The sequence below is a fragment of the Homo sapiens genome, chromosome 9, assembly GCF_000001405.40.
Source record: "Homo sapiens chromosome 9, GRCh38.p14 Primary Assembly".
Classification (NCBI taxonomy): domain Eukaryota; kingdom Metazoa; phylum Chordata; class Mammalia; order Primates; family Hominidae; genus Homo; species Homo sapiens.
The window spans coordinates 121,007,240-121,022,414 of record NC_000009.12 but is presented as its reverse complement, the minus strand read 5'-3'; the positions used below and the strand labels follow the sequence as shown (position 1 = coordinate 121,022,414).

At 37.3% G+C, this 15,175-nt stretch overlaps 1 protein-coding gene across 3 annotated transcripts in view; it reads left to right on the top strand.

Annotated features, from left to right (window-relative positions):
• The window catches only part of C5 (complement C5), a 122,531-nt gene that overhangs the window by 52,451 nt on the left and 54,905 nt on the right, over window positions 1-15,175 (top strand). For all 3 annotated transcript variants that reach the window (NM_001317163.2, NM_001735.3, NM_001317164.2), the window contains exons 11-18: window positions 721-906; window positions 2,236-2,439; window positions 4,563-4,772; window positions 4,904-5,053; window positions 6,032-6,161; window positions 7,154-7,216; window positions 8,345-8,542; window positions 13,917-14,007. In NM_001317163.2, the coding sequence (NP_001304092.1) occupies window positions 721-906; window positions 2,236-2,439; window positions 4,563-4,772; window positions 4,904-5,053; window positions 6,032-6,161; window positions 7,154-7,216; window positions 8,345-8,542; window positions 13,917-14,007 (1,232 nt within the window). The remainder of the gene's footprint in view (window positions 1-720; window positions 907-2,235; window positions 2,440-4,562; window positions 4,773-4,903; window positions 5,054-6,031; window positions 6,162-7,153; window positions 7,217-8,344; window positions 8,543-13,916; window positions 14,008-15,175) is intronic.

Below are 15,175 nucleotides of genomic sequence, written 5' to 3'. Positions count from 1 at the left end.
TAAAATATGTAAATATAGCAATATTATATAGAACATAAGCTTAAAATATGTTTATATAAAAGTAAAATAACAAACTATATCTGTGTGGAATTGTGTGTGTATATATATATATATATGGCAGTGAGAGGTAGATGTTAAAGGAAAAAAGGTGTATCTATTTTTGTTTCTCATATTCAAGGGACTTATTCCCAGAAGCGATTGCCTCATTTTCTCCTTTATCCAGTCCTAAACCAATCAAAGAAATACAGAAGTTAGATAGCAGAAGACCTTATCACACCTACTCCTTGACTGACTTAATAGAATGATATTTATGTTTTGAGTTTGCTTGATTTATGGGAGAATCTATTCAAGAATGATTTAACTAAATAGAATTAAATCTTTCTATAAGCTGAGAATACACTTCTCTTTACTAAATTAAACATAAGTAAACCAGGTGTGGTGGAGCATGCCTAAATAGTTCCAGCTACTTGGGAGGCTGAGGTGGGAGGATGGCTTGAGGCCAATAGTTCAAGGTTGCAGTGCGCTATGATTGTGCCTGTGAATAGCCACTGCACTCCAACCTGGGCAACGTAGTAAGTCTCTGTCTCAGAAAAAAAATTTTCAGAAAAAAATACATAAATAATTTATACTTTGGTGGGGAGGAAGGAAAATTATTTCAGAATTGTGCTTTAAAATAAGTGATGAGCTGTTGAAATAGATTTGGATTGTTTTGACAAACAGGTGCAGGTTAAAGATTCGCTTGACCAGTTGGTAGGAGGAGTCCCAGTAACACTGAATGCACAAACAATTGATGTAAACCAAGAGACATCTGACTTGGATCCAAGCAAAAGTGTAACACGTGTTGATGATGGAGTAGCTTCCTTTGTGCTTAATCTCCCATCTGGAGTGACGGTGCTGGAGTTTAATGTGAGCTGAATTCTCCTGTTGTATTTTCTAGGACAATGTGTACTCTTGACCATGTGTTTTGGCTAGTGTGCAGAACAGATGCGGCAGATTTTACACATGAGTCCAGTGAACAGTTCCATAATTTTGCATCCAAGACAAATTAGTCCCAGAGACAATCTGCTAATCCATTGAATGGTCCTTGAGGAAGATAAATGTATCAATTTTTTATTTGGGAGTTAATTGTTTTATCTTACACCGTTAAGACCATATCAGACTCTAGAAGCTTCAGAATAGGTATAGCAGTGCACATGAGTGTTAGGAATATCCTCTCTTCCCCCCTCACTTTTAATCCCCTGAAGGGCCACAAAAGGGTCAAAAATATGGAAGCCTCCCTTTTTTCTAACTACAGAAACCATTCTACTTTAGAGCCCACTTAATAGTCTTCTCTCGCAGCAAATATTATTTAAGTTCCCAATCTCAAATAAAATATGAGCAATAACATAGTAACATAGTTACAAAGTAACTTAGTAACATAATAACATAGGCCAATGACTGCAGCATGCATATGCTCACTGTCATCTATTGAGCACTTACTAAATGCTAGGCATCATGCTGAGAGCTTTATGAAGAATACATGAAACACCATTTAATTAGCAAGATGAGTTAGAATATTATCTTTGCCATTGTGTGGCTCAGGAAATGGAGGCTTCTAACCTCTCTTTTGATTAACTAATTTTATCCAGAGTTAATAAGTGGTGGTACTGGTATGTGAACCAGTGTGTACCTGACTCCAGAGCATGAGCTAATAACACTTCTGCTGTCTGAGGGTAGATATTGCTGCCATGATATCATTTCTTCTCCACCTCATATTTATAAGCACCCATCTGTGCCTCTACTTCACAATGAAACTGGGCCAGATAGTCTCTGAGATGTTCGTTCATAGCTCCTGTCCCCAAGAGTTAGTGCTACCTCCCCACTACTTCCCTTCTCCTACCCCCATTTCCTAAATGCTTAGGCATCTCTCTGTAATCATCCCATGCGAGGAGAAGTCCCAACTTACCATGACATTTCAGGAAGACCACCAATAATTATTCCTGGAGCATCTTTCTCTCTTCATTTCAGACTTTTCCGCCATAGCCCATAATCCCATCATTCTTGTCTGTAGTCTTTGTAAAGTTGCTTGACACCACAGCTGTATAAACACTGAAGTAATGGAGGGTTTTTTCCCCTTTAGCATTTGTTATTGTGAAATTTAGAAATTTATAAAGCAAGGAAAATAATTTGAAAGGTATGTTTTACAGAAAGCATTACATCACAGTATACATGTCTTTTTGAAATTTCTCTTTTCAGGTCAAAACTGATGCTCCAGATCTTCCAGAAGAAAATCAGGCCAGGGAAGGTTACCGAGCAATAGCATACTCATCTCTCAGCCAAAGTTACCTTTATATTGATTGGACTGATAACCATAAGGCTTTGCTAGTGGGAGAACATCTGAATATTATTGTTACCCCCAAAAGCCCATATATTGACAAAATAACTCACTATAATTACTTGGTAAGTACATAATGATGGATTTACATCTTATTCCCCCACCTGGAACATTTTCCTTTGCCTCTAGAGAGGCATTAGAATTATCCTTTATACTTTTATTCCCAAAGCACTTTCAAGAGCATCATCTAACTTGAACATCAGTTTCTCAAAAAACCTTTGAAATAGGGCATGATTTTCATGACCATTTCACAGATGAGGAAACTGAGGGACAGAGAAGTTAAAAGACTTATGATGGTTACTCAGCTGGGAAGAGGAAAATTTTGATTTGAGCTGAGGACTCTGACTCCTGTTCTAATAACACTTTTTACCAAAGAGAGCCTAGTTATTCCAAAGCGAGAACCTGATTAAATCATGTTGCCTCTGTTCTCTTTCATGGCCAAAGATTATATGCCTAGACCCAGTTCGGATAAGTGAATTTTATTGTCAAAAAATGGGGAAGCAAAATCCTCTCCTGAGAATTGAATCCTATCTTGCCTGTTCCAATTCCGTAGCTGAGCAACATCCCTATTGCATCATTTATATTAAACAGAGGTGGATCGATGAAGCCTGTTGGTGAAACCAAGAAAAAAACTTACAGAAAATATTAAGAGCTTCCTGACAATCACCAAATAAATGGAATGAATTATTTCGACAGCCAGGCCAAGTACATGCTGTTGGCTTTTCAACATTTTTGAGGAAGAAATTGAAAAAACAGTAATGAGGACCATAGATAAATATTGACTGATAAAGGGAAACTGTTTATGGACTAGATACCAAATCCATGTATGCAGTTCTGGTCTCTAAGGACAATTTAAGGGACCTCTGAGGGCATTTTGGCTTCACGTGATTTTTTTTTTTTAATCTTAAACCTTCAATTTAGAATCTAAACCCTGGCTTTAAATCCCCAAATAAGATGCACTCCACTTATTCATCTATTTTTTTTTAATCGGTGAAACAAAAGGGGTTTTAGTGACAGTGTGATGACTTTGAACAGTTTTTGGGTTCAAATTTTAGCTCTCTAATTTACTAGTTGTGTGATTTTGAATTAAAATCAGTATGACTTTTAGTTTCTGAGCCTCAGTTTCTTAAATGAGGAGAATAATATTCCTCTTATTGATGTATTGTGAGAATGAAAGGAGTTAAATACATGTTAAAGTTCCTGGCACATAGTAGGCCCATAAACGTTAACTCACTCTTTCTTCCTTCCTTCCTTCCTTCCTTCCTTCCTTCCTTCCTTCCTTCCTTCCTTCCTTCCTTTCCTTCCTTCCTTCCTTCTTTCTTTCTTTCTTTTCTTTCTTTCTTTCCCTCCCTCCCTCCCTTCTTTCCTTCCTTCCTTCCTTCTTTCTTTCTTTCCCTCCCTCCCTCCCTCCCTTCTTTCTTGCCTTCCTTCCTTCCTTCCTTCCTTCCTTCCTTCCTTCCTTTCTTTTTGGTGGAGTCTCACTCTGTCCCCCAAGCTGGAGTGCAGTGGCATGATTTCGACTCACTGCAACCTCTGCCTCCCAAGTTCAAGCAATTCTCCTGCCTCAGCCTTCCGAGTAGCTGGGATTACATATGCCCACCACAGTGCCCGGCTAATTTTTTTATTTTTAGTAGAGCCAGGGTTTCACCATGTTGGCCAGGCAGGTCTCAAACTCCTGACCTCAGGTGATCTGCCTGCCTTGGCCTCCCAAACTTCTGGGATTACAGGTGTGAGCCACCGTGCCCAGCCAAAATTGGTATGTCTTTTTTTTTTTTTTTTTTTTTTTTTGAGACAGAGTCTTGCTCTGTTGCACAGGCTGGAGTGCAGTGGCATGATCTCAGCTCACTGCAAACTTCACCTCTCGGGCTCCAGTAATTCTCATGCCTCAGCCTCCCGAGTAGGTGTGATTACAGTCATGCACCACCATGCCTGGCTAACTTTTGTATTTTTAGTAGAGATGGTGTTTCACTATGTTGGCCAGGCTGGTCTTGAACTCCTGGCCTCAAGTGATCGGCCCACCTCGGCCTCCCAAAGTGCTAGGATTACAGGTGTGAGCCACTGTGCCCAGCCTAACTTTATTTTTCTTTAACATAATTTCTGCTCCAGCTCCAGGCTGCATCCTAAAGCACAGGTTTTGTTTTTGTTTGTTTATTTTTTACTTATTGTTGCTGCTGCTGTTTATTTTTAGATTTTATCCAAGGGCAAAATTATCCACTTTGGCACGAGGGAGAAATTTTCAGATGCATCTTATCAAAGTATAAACATTCCAGTAACACAGAACATGGTTCCTTCATCCCGACTTCTGGTCTATTACATCGTCACAGGAGAACAGACAGCAGAATTAGTGTCTGATTCAGTCTGGTTAAATATTGAAGAAAAATGTGGCAACCAGCTCCAGGTAAGCCACAAATTATAAGTCACAATTGAATTTTCTTTTCAATGAAGGAGGCTGCCAAAGTTTTAGCTGCTTCTGAAAAGTCTTGTCTCATACAAATGATCTTTTCTTTTCTTTTTCAAATGAACTTTTAGGTTCATCTGTCTCCTGATGCAGATGCATATTCTCCAGGCCAAACTGTGTCTCTTAATATGGCAACTGGAATGGATTCCTGGGTGGCATTAGCAGCAGTGGACAGTGCTGTGTATGGAGTCCAAAGAGGAGCCAAAAAGCCCTTGGAAAGAGTTAAGTAATGCATGTCTCGCTGCAGTGTTGCATGAAGTGTGGCCACCAGGCTAGGATATGGAGGAAGAACTAAGGGAAGACTAGGCCTGCTTTTCTGTAATCTACTCAACATACTCATTTTTAGGAAGGTAAACCATCCTCCTGTCAGCTCCCAAAGCACAGGTCAATCCTCTTTTGTTTTTCAAATGTAAATGTAAGCACTTTAAGAATATATGATCATGGTAGCAATTACATTCATGGAGGAAAAATTACTATCAGAATACTTTGGAGGTTTAGGGTAGGGTGTTGATGGCAGTTATAGTAGCTAGTAGCAGCACAGGAAAGACCTGTATAGGTAACATTTGGATTTTTTTTAAATTCTCATTGAAATCCATAGCACAGAAGAATCTCAAAATCATTCAATTCTCATAAGTTCCTATTTATCTTATTATGTTCAGCTATTATTTTCGAGGCTTGAATGTCTTTGAACAAGGAAGGAAGGACTGAGAAACTGTAAAATTAAAAAATACTCGGAGAACGAATAAGCCTGTCCAAACAAGTCTTCAGCCATTTAGAACCTAGGGACCTCCCCACCAAAATGCACAAAGTTGTGCTTTTAAAGCAACTTAAAATTAATTTCTATGTTAATTCAGTCCTTCATGCATTCATACCTATTTATTTATTTATTTGGAACATTATATTGATTGCAGCATTCATTCTATGTACAAAACACTATATATCAGTTTCTAAGAAACTCCTCATCAAAGCTATTTGTTTAAGACTTAGTTCTTGATTTAACTTTGAATAGTTATGTATTTATAAATACAAAAGGACAAACTTAGAAACAAAGTTGGGAAATTTTGTCTTTGATCATTTGAAAAATATCATCTGTGTATTTCACTGGTTTGTGATAACCATGTAACAATTAGTACCTTTTAGATCTTTAGAGGAATGATTTATACATCTCAATGTGCTCAACATTTTGCCTTTCTGGACAGGTATTTCAATTCTTAGAGAAGAGTGATCTGGGCTGTGGGGCAGGTGGTGGCCTCAACAATGCCAATGTGTTCCACCTAGCTGGACTTACCTTCCTCACTAATGCAAATGCAGATGACTCCCAAGAAAATGGTAAAATGCTCAGCATGTTTATTACTGAAAATCCCATTGATCATTTGCCCCCCAGATCTCATTTTTATCCTTCTTCCCAAATATTCTGTACCCTGATCTTAGAATGCCAAGACTACATAACTCACCTGTATAAAATGTTTCACTGGCCTTCAAGATAAAGTACAAATTCTTTAGTGTAGTACTCAAAACCTTCCATGATCTTCGCCCTGGCTCTCTCCAACTAGCTCTTACCCTGCTGTGCCTTACGTTATGTTTAAGCTCTACAGAACCAAGTGGAGTTCTTGAGTGGCATTATGCTATTTTGCACCTTTGGGCCTTTATTTATTGGAATTGGTTTCCCCTTCATTAGCCTGGAGAAGCAATGTAAGAATCATCGCCTCTACGAGACCTCTTCCCCACATAGAATTTATAATTCCCTCCTCCTTTAATAGGGAGGCTATTGCAGGGACTAGATCTATTTACAAGTTATAGAACAGCATTGTGTCATTGTGCATTCTTACATGTAGTTGTAAGTCCTGCTCACCTACTGCATCAGGAGCTCTTTAAGGATAGTAACCATACCTTAATCATCTTCTTTCTATGGTTTTAAAATTGTTCATAATTATACTTGATACTGTGGTATTCATAGTTATATTTGCAATAATATAGCACAAAGAGCAAATAATAAAAATAGCATACCCAACAAAAGCATCACTCACTCTAAATGCTTAGGTATTTCTCTGGAATCAGTGGATCAGAGAGGCTGCAGGATTCAAAACCAAATTCAGATAAAATAAGTCAAAAGATATGACACTAGATCATGAACTCCACTAAGATAAAACAAGTCATATTAAGAAGTATGGTGCACAGTTCCTAATCCAAAGCAGCCCCTCAATATTTGTTAAGGAATGACTTGTGAAGGCTCTAAATACTTAAATAGTTTCATGGAATTTTTTTTTGAGATTTTATCTCCTTTTTAATCCTTCTTCTTTATCTTTTTTTAAAAAAACCAGATGAACCTTGTAAAGAAATTCTCAGGCCAAGAAGAACGCTGCAAAAGAAGATAGAAGAAATAGGTACTGTAAGATTCATGTGATTGTAAAAAGGTTATGGTCATATCATTCAAAAACTGGACAAAATTAAATGTTATATAAATTCCCCTAATTGAAATAAAATGAATGAAAAGAAAGATATGTATGGAGGTCTAGCTTATCTCTCTCAGAAAGATTAATCCAAATAAAGTCTAGTAGTTCATTTGCCATAGCCTTAATCTAAGGAAATAGGTCTTTATTACTTCAAGCTCTAAAATCCAAAATATTAGCTTTTATTTGTCATAAATATTTTCTCTCTGATAACTTCATCTGGCAATTAAAATCATATCCTTCCATTTTATTCTGACAAAATCCATGATTTGACTATTTTGGGGATATACCTAGAAGTCTATTACTTCTATTTCATATATTTAACTGTTAGTAGCATTGTTCTTTGGAAAATACATCTTGTGAGAATTATTTTAAAATAATTATTTAAATGGTTATGATAATTCGTCATGTTACTGTAGAAAGAATATCAAACTGGGAGTCAGCAAATTGAGTTCAACTAATATCATGCCTATGGTAATATAATAGTTTCTTCCATTTGTATATGAGTTATTTTAATTCTAACCTTTATTCTAAGTTCTAATGATATGAAAAGAGAGACATTGACTAATCTGAGCACTTACAATGAAGGATAATGCTACTAGGTGAAGTCCACAAACCATGTTATATAAGAAGTTTTTGAAAAATAGGATATTCAGCTTGAAGAAGGAAATATTTGTATAGTGATGATAGCCATCTTCAAATATTTGAAGGCTTCTTGGATATTTAACTTATTTTCTTAAAAAACATTTTCTATTCTTTTTCTATATTTTTCTGCATATTTTCAGCAGAACCCAAAGTTCCAGTTTCAAGAGTTAGTATTTAGCTTAATTGCAGGAAACCCTTTAACCATTTAGTGTGAGCTGGAATGGACCATTTGGTAAGGTCACATTCTCCCCATTCTTAGAATAGTTCCAAGGGGAGTCTGGACAGTCAACTAGCCATAACTATTGTGGGTAGGGGGATCATATAGCAACAGAAACCAGGTATCCCTTGAGATTCCTTCTAAGCCTGAGATGTTATCACTCTGCGTCATCAAGAGCACTTGCATTATTACCATTTCAGCTGCTAAATATAAACATTCAGTAGTGAAGAAATGTTGTTACGATGGAGCCTGCGTTAATAATGATGAAACCTGTGAGCAGCGAGCTGCACGGATTAGTTTAGGGCCAAGATGCATCAAAGCTTTCACTGAATGTTGTGTCGTCGCAAGCCAGCTCCGTGCTAATATCTCTCATAAAGACATGCAATTGGGAAGGCTACGTAAGTATGACATTTTCTATCAGAATTCTGCTCAATATGGGGAATTTTGTGTAATTTTATGCTGCTAAGAAAGGCAGTTTTCATGATCTATTTAGAATTGAAAGTAGAAAAGATAACTTGTAAATGTCCATAAGAAAAAAAAATCCTTCATTTTTGGGCATCCGAAGAGGTACAGTACAGAGCAGAGTACACTAGGCCAGAGTTAAGACCTGGCATAACCTTAAAGCCAAGTCATCCCATAAACTTGAATGATTATTTATCCTCTCTGAGCCTCATGCAAGGAGCTTCGACCAGATCCTCTCCAATATGCCTGTGAGTTCTACAAGTCTACGCTTTTGTGATATTACAACCATTAAAAATTCTGTCTATATCTACATTGATGAAATAAAGCAGAATATTTCTAAATCTAGCCTAAGGTTAAGTGTACTTATATAAAAGCTGATGTCTTATTTCAGTTTCAACCACAATACATGTTTCCAGAATTTATAGAACTCTCATTAACATGTTTTCAGAACTTTTAGGACTTTATATATAGTCTTTTTTTTTTTTTTTTTCAGTAGGAATCTGGCTCTGTCACCCAGGCTGGAGTGCAGTGGTGCAATCTTGGCTTACTGCAACCTCTGCCTCTGGGTTCAAGCGATTCTCCTGCCTCAGCCTCCTGAGTAACTGGGATTAAAGGCGCCTGCCACCACACCTGGTTAATTTTTGTATTTTTAGTAGGGACAGGGTTTCACCATATTGGCCAGGCTGGTCTTGAACTCCTGACCTCAGGTGATCCGTCCACCTCGGCCTCCCAAAGTGCTGAGATTACAGGCGTGAGCCACTGTGCCCAGCCTATGTATAGTCTTTAACAAAACAAGCAAAAGCAAAATGACAGCTTCTGTTTTATACTTATGTGTGCTGCGTAATGACATTTTCATCAATGATGGACCACATGTGCAACGGTGATCCTATAGGATTATAATACCGTATTTTTTCTGTACCTTTCCTGTGTTTAGATATGCTTAGATACACAAATACTTATCATTGCATTACAGTTGTCTGCAGTATTCTGTTCAGTAACATGCTGTACAGGTTTGTAGCCTAGGAGAAATAGGCTATACTATATAGTCTAGATCTGTAGTAAGTTATACCATCTAGATTAGTGTAAGTACGCTCCATGATGGTTACACAACAAAATCATCTAACAACATATTTCTCAGAACATAGCCCTATTGTTAAGCAATATCTAATAACCATAATTTTGGTAAATGGCCACAAAATTTATGTTTGTAGAAATATATTCATTGAGATGTACAGTGTCTAAGATTCAGATTGTTTTCCAATATTTGTTTTGCTTTGTTTGTTTGTTTGTTTGAGAGACAGAGTTTTGTTTTTGTTGCCCAGGCTGGAGTGCAATGGCGCAGTCTCAGCTCACTGCAACCTCCGCCTCCCGGGTTCAAGCAATTCTCCTGCCTCAGCCTCCCAAGTAGCTGGGATTACATGCACCTGCCACCATGCCTGGCTAATAATATTTGCTTATTATAAGCAGAATTTTAATAAACAGTCTAGTCCATATGTTGTTTTTCTTTTTGGAGGGAGGATTTGGCTTTTTTTTCTCTTAATTTTTTTTAATTTTTAAATTTATGTGGGTAAATAGTATTTACGGGGTACACGAGATACTTTGATACAGGAATGCAATAAGTAACAATCATATCATGGAAAATGGGGTATCTATCCCCTGAGGTATTTCTCCTTTGTTTTATAAACAATCCAATTATACTCTTTTAGTTATTTTTAAATGTACAATTAAATTATTATTGACTGTAGTCACCCTGTTGTGCTGTCAAGTACTAAGTCTTATTCATTCTTTCTATTTTTTGTACCCATAAACCATCCCCACATCCCCCTCATCCTCCTACTACCCTTCCCAGCCTTCTACTCTATATCTCCATAAGTTAAATTGTTTTGATTTTTAGCACCCACAAATAAGTGAGAACATGTGAATTTTGTCTTTCTGTGCCTGACTTATTTCACTTAACATAATGACCTCCAGTTCCATCCATATTGTTGCAAATGACAGGATCTCATTCTTTTCATGGCTGAGTAGTACTCCATTGTGTATATGCACCACATTTTCTTTATCCATTTATCTGTTGATGGACATTTAGGTTGCTTCCAAATCCTGACTATTTTTAACAGTGCAGCAACAAACATGGGCGTGCAGATATCTCTTCGATGTACTGATTTTCTTTCTTTTGGGTATATACCCAGCAGTGGGATTGCCAGATCATATGGTAGCTCTATTCTTTGTTTTTTAAGGAACCTCCAAACTGTTCTCCATAGTGTATAGTAATTTACATTCCCCACTAACAGTGTACAAGAGTTCCCTTTTCTCCACATCCCCTCCAGCATTTGTTATTGCCTGTCTTTTGAATAAAAGCCATTTTAACTGAGATGAGATGATATTTCATTGTAGCTTTGATTGCATTTCTCTGGTGATTACTGATGTTGAGCACCTTTTCACATGCTTTTTTGCCATTTGTATGTCTTCTTTAGAGAAATGTCTATTCAAATCTTTTGCCCATTTTTAAGTGGGATTATTACATTTTTTCCTGTAGAGTTGTTTGAACTCCTTATATATTCTTGTTATTAATCTCTTGTCAGATGGGTAGCTGCAAGTATTTTCTCCCATTCTGTAGGTTGTCTGCTTACTTTATTGATTCCTTTGCTGTACAGAAGCTCTTTAACTTGATGTGATCCCATTTGTCCATTTTGGCTTTGGTTGTCTGTGTAGTGGGGTATTACTCAAGAAACTTTTGCCCAGACCAATGTCCTAGAGAGTTTTCCCAGTGTTTTCCTATAGCAGTTTTATAGTTAGAGGTCTTAGAGTTAAATCTTTAATCAATTTTTATTTGAGTTTTGTATATGGCAAGAGATAAGGGTCACGTTTCATTCTTCTGCATGAATGGGATAACCAGTTTTCCCAGCACCATTAATTGAAGAGACTGTCCTTCCTCCAATGTATGTTCTTGGCACCTTTGTCAAAAATGCGTTCACTATAGGTGTGTGGATTTGTCTGGGTTTTCTATTCTGTTCCATAGGTCTATATGTCTGCTTTTATGCCACTACCATGCTGTTTTGAATTATACTATAGTATAATTTGAAGTCAGGTAATGTGATTCCTCCAGTTTTTTTCTTTTTGCTCGGGATTGCTTTGGCTATTCTGGTCTTTTGTAGTTCCATATGAATTTTAGGATTTTTTTTCTATTTCTGCAAAGAATGTTATTGGTGTTTTCATAGAGATTGCATTGAATCAGTAGATTGCTTTGGGTATTAAGGCGTTTTAACAATATTGATTCTTCCAATCCATGAATATGGAATAACTTTCCATTTTTTTGAGTGTCCTCTTGAATTTCTTTCATTGGTGTTTTATAGTTTTCATTGTAGAAATCTTTTACTTCTTTGGTTAATTTAATTCCTAGGTATTTAATTTTATTTGTGGCTATTGTAAATGGTATTACTTTTTAAATTTCTTTTTCACATTGTTCATTATTGACATATAGAAATGCTACTGATTTTTGTATGTTGATTTTATATCCTGCAACTTTATTGAATTCATTTAGCAGTTCTAATAGTTTTTTGGTGGAGTCCTCAGGTTTTTCCAAATATGTGATCATATCATTTGCATACAAGGATAACTTGACTTCTTGCTTTCTAGTTTGGATGACCTTTATTTCCTTCTCTTGTCTAATTGTTCTGGCTAGGACTTCCAGTGCACTAGGACTTGCCTAGAAATTGCAGTCCTTGTGGCCTAGACTGCCCCTCAAGTTAACCTAGGGCCCTAGAGCACTCCAGCCCATGGTGGGGAGGCTTGCTGGAACTCAAGCTCCAACCACTGGGATGAGCGATGCCCCTCTGGCTAGGGCCAGTCCAAATGCTCCCTCCATGGGCAGACACCAGCTGAGTACAGCCTGGTTCTGCTTTCCACCGTGACAGTGCAACACTGAGTTCAATGCAAAGCCACAGAATGACTGCACTCTCCCTCTCCCAACACAGAGATTCTCCATGCTGCACAGTCACTGCTAGGGGATGTGGGAGGAGTGGCATTGGTGCTTCAAGACTATCTTTCCTGCCCTCTTCAATGTCTCTTTCAGTGATGTAAAGTCAAAACCAGGTACTGTGATTGCTCACCTGATTTTCGGTTCTCTTGATGGTGCTTTTTGTGTGTAGTTAGTTGTTAAAATTTAGTGTACCAACAGGAAAGACAAATGGTGTAGGCTTCTATTCAGCCATCTTGCTCTCCCCTCTCATATATTTTTTCGTTTTTCAATTTTTCAACTATAATCATCTGGCTTGGCTTCAGCTGGATAGAAGTCTCTCTCTGCAGCCCCCTCCTTCCTGGAACTCTCCCTCATTCCAGACAAGTTGGCCTTGCAAAACTCCCATCAGTGTTGCCACAAGTCTTCAAAATCATCAGGCTCTGCTTGTATTCCTCTCCCTGCCCTAGTCTGTAAACTGCCTCTAGGCAGTAAGCTGGGGCAATTTTAGGTTTCACCTAATTGTTTCCTTTCTCTTAGAGATCACAGTCTTGCTTATGCTCTAATGTCTGAAAACTGTTATTTTGCATATCATGTTTTGTTTTCTATTAAGGCATCTTATATGAAAACAGAAGTTCAGTCCATTTTTATTAAAGTAAATATAAACAAATTACCAAGTTAAAGAAGGCAGAGAACCATATAAAGCCTCCTTTTTTCTAATATAAACACAATTATTACAATTATATATATAAGTGCAAATAACTTTATAGACTGATCGATATCTTGTATAATCTCAGGAATACTAAACATTTAGCAATTTAAGAAAAAAATCATTAAAGATATTTAATGCTTTGTTTTGCCAATGCTATTAGTGGAAAAATCCTAAGGCCTTTATAGTTTGTTTGTTTGTTTGTTTGTTTGTTTGTGACAGAGTCTCTCTCTGTTACCCAGGCTGGAGTGCAGTGGTGCAATCTCGGCTCACTGCAACCTCTACCTCCCAGGTTCAAGTGATTCTTGTGCCTCAGCCTCCTGAGTAGCTGGGACTATAGACACCCGCCACCATGCCCAGCTAATTTTTGTGTTTTTAGTAGAGACGGGGTTTCAACATGTTGGCCAGGCTGATCTCGAATTCCTGACCTCAGGTGATCTGCCCACCTCGGCCTCCCAAAGTGCTGGGATTACAGGCATGAGCCACTGCACCCTGCCTATAATTCTATTTTGGAAGCATTAAACAAAATGTTTTATTTACCTTTCAGAAAATGCTTAAGTTACAGATTAATGGCCATATTTTAAAATTCACCTATAAGTAGAATTTATATTGTTTTTCCATAATTGAATATGATTTTTTTGTCCAGACATGAAGACCCTGTTACCAGTAAGCAAGCCAGAAATTCGGAGTTATTTTCCAGAAAGCTGGTTGTGGGAAGTTCATCTTGTTCCCAGAAGGTATTATACTTCTTTCATGTTTCCTTGAAAGAAATGTGGATAATGCAAGTATTATGGCCAAAAATCTAGAAACTACCCATTTCCCAATAGCTTGCATAGGAGTTAAGATGATCCTGCAATTTGATCAAATTTTGTTTTGTTTTGCTTTGCTTTTTTAAATTTTTATTTTTTTAATATACATCGTACTGGTGATTGGCTCCAGGTCAGAATGAAGAAGGGTGCTATTCCATTTAATTTTATTTGACTTCATTATGCATTTACTACACACAACTATGTGCGATACACTATATTAAGCCACTATTTTTATCCTAAAATATCTGTACTATAAAACAAACATTAATAAACAGGAAGAAAAGTTTTCTTTTTAAAGTTTTCTATTCAACACATTTTAAGGAAACACTTCCTCTATACCACTGAAAACAGTGATGGGCTGAGTCCTCGAGCCATACTCTTCTTAGATGGGCTTAAAGCACTGGTTTTCCAATGAGAAGGCAAGGAATGAGTTCAAAGGCCTGCAGTTGTCTCCTCACGCATCTCCTTATTTCTACCCTTGTCTTCTCTAATCCTTCTTCCACACAATTGTCCATTTCATCTGACATTACCCATTAGCTAGCATGTCCTCTAGTAAACCTTCTGGCCACTGCTCCCCACACTACCAGTGATTGGATTAATTGCACCCTCAATTAACCCTGTTGTGTGTATCATATTGTATTATAATGACTTGTTTACTTTCCTGTCTTCCACATTAAAATGTAAATACCTCAAAGGCATGAACTAAATTCAGATTACTGTTTTATATCCAGGACTTGGCCTAGGATACTGAAAATAAATGTGTTGAACGAAAGCACACTGCCTCTGAACTCTTATAATGCCTTATTGGTACAATTATTACAGTGCAGTGTAATTTATTTACTTAACTATTTCTTCCACTAGATTGTAAACTGCCTGAGAGCAGGACTGTATCTTATCAGTGCTGTTTACTCAGTACTCAGCACTATACCTGATACAAAGTTGGTAGACAATAGCTGTAAATAAATATACAAGCTTAATCATAATCAGCAGTTTTTAGTTATGTCAACTTTGTTTTGAGCAGTGCTAACATGCATCACTTTGCTTCCCTATTTTAGAATATACTCACAACAAACATCTTTTTCTTTGTTTGTGTGCT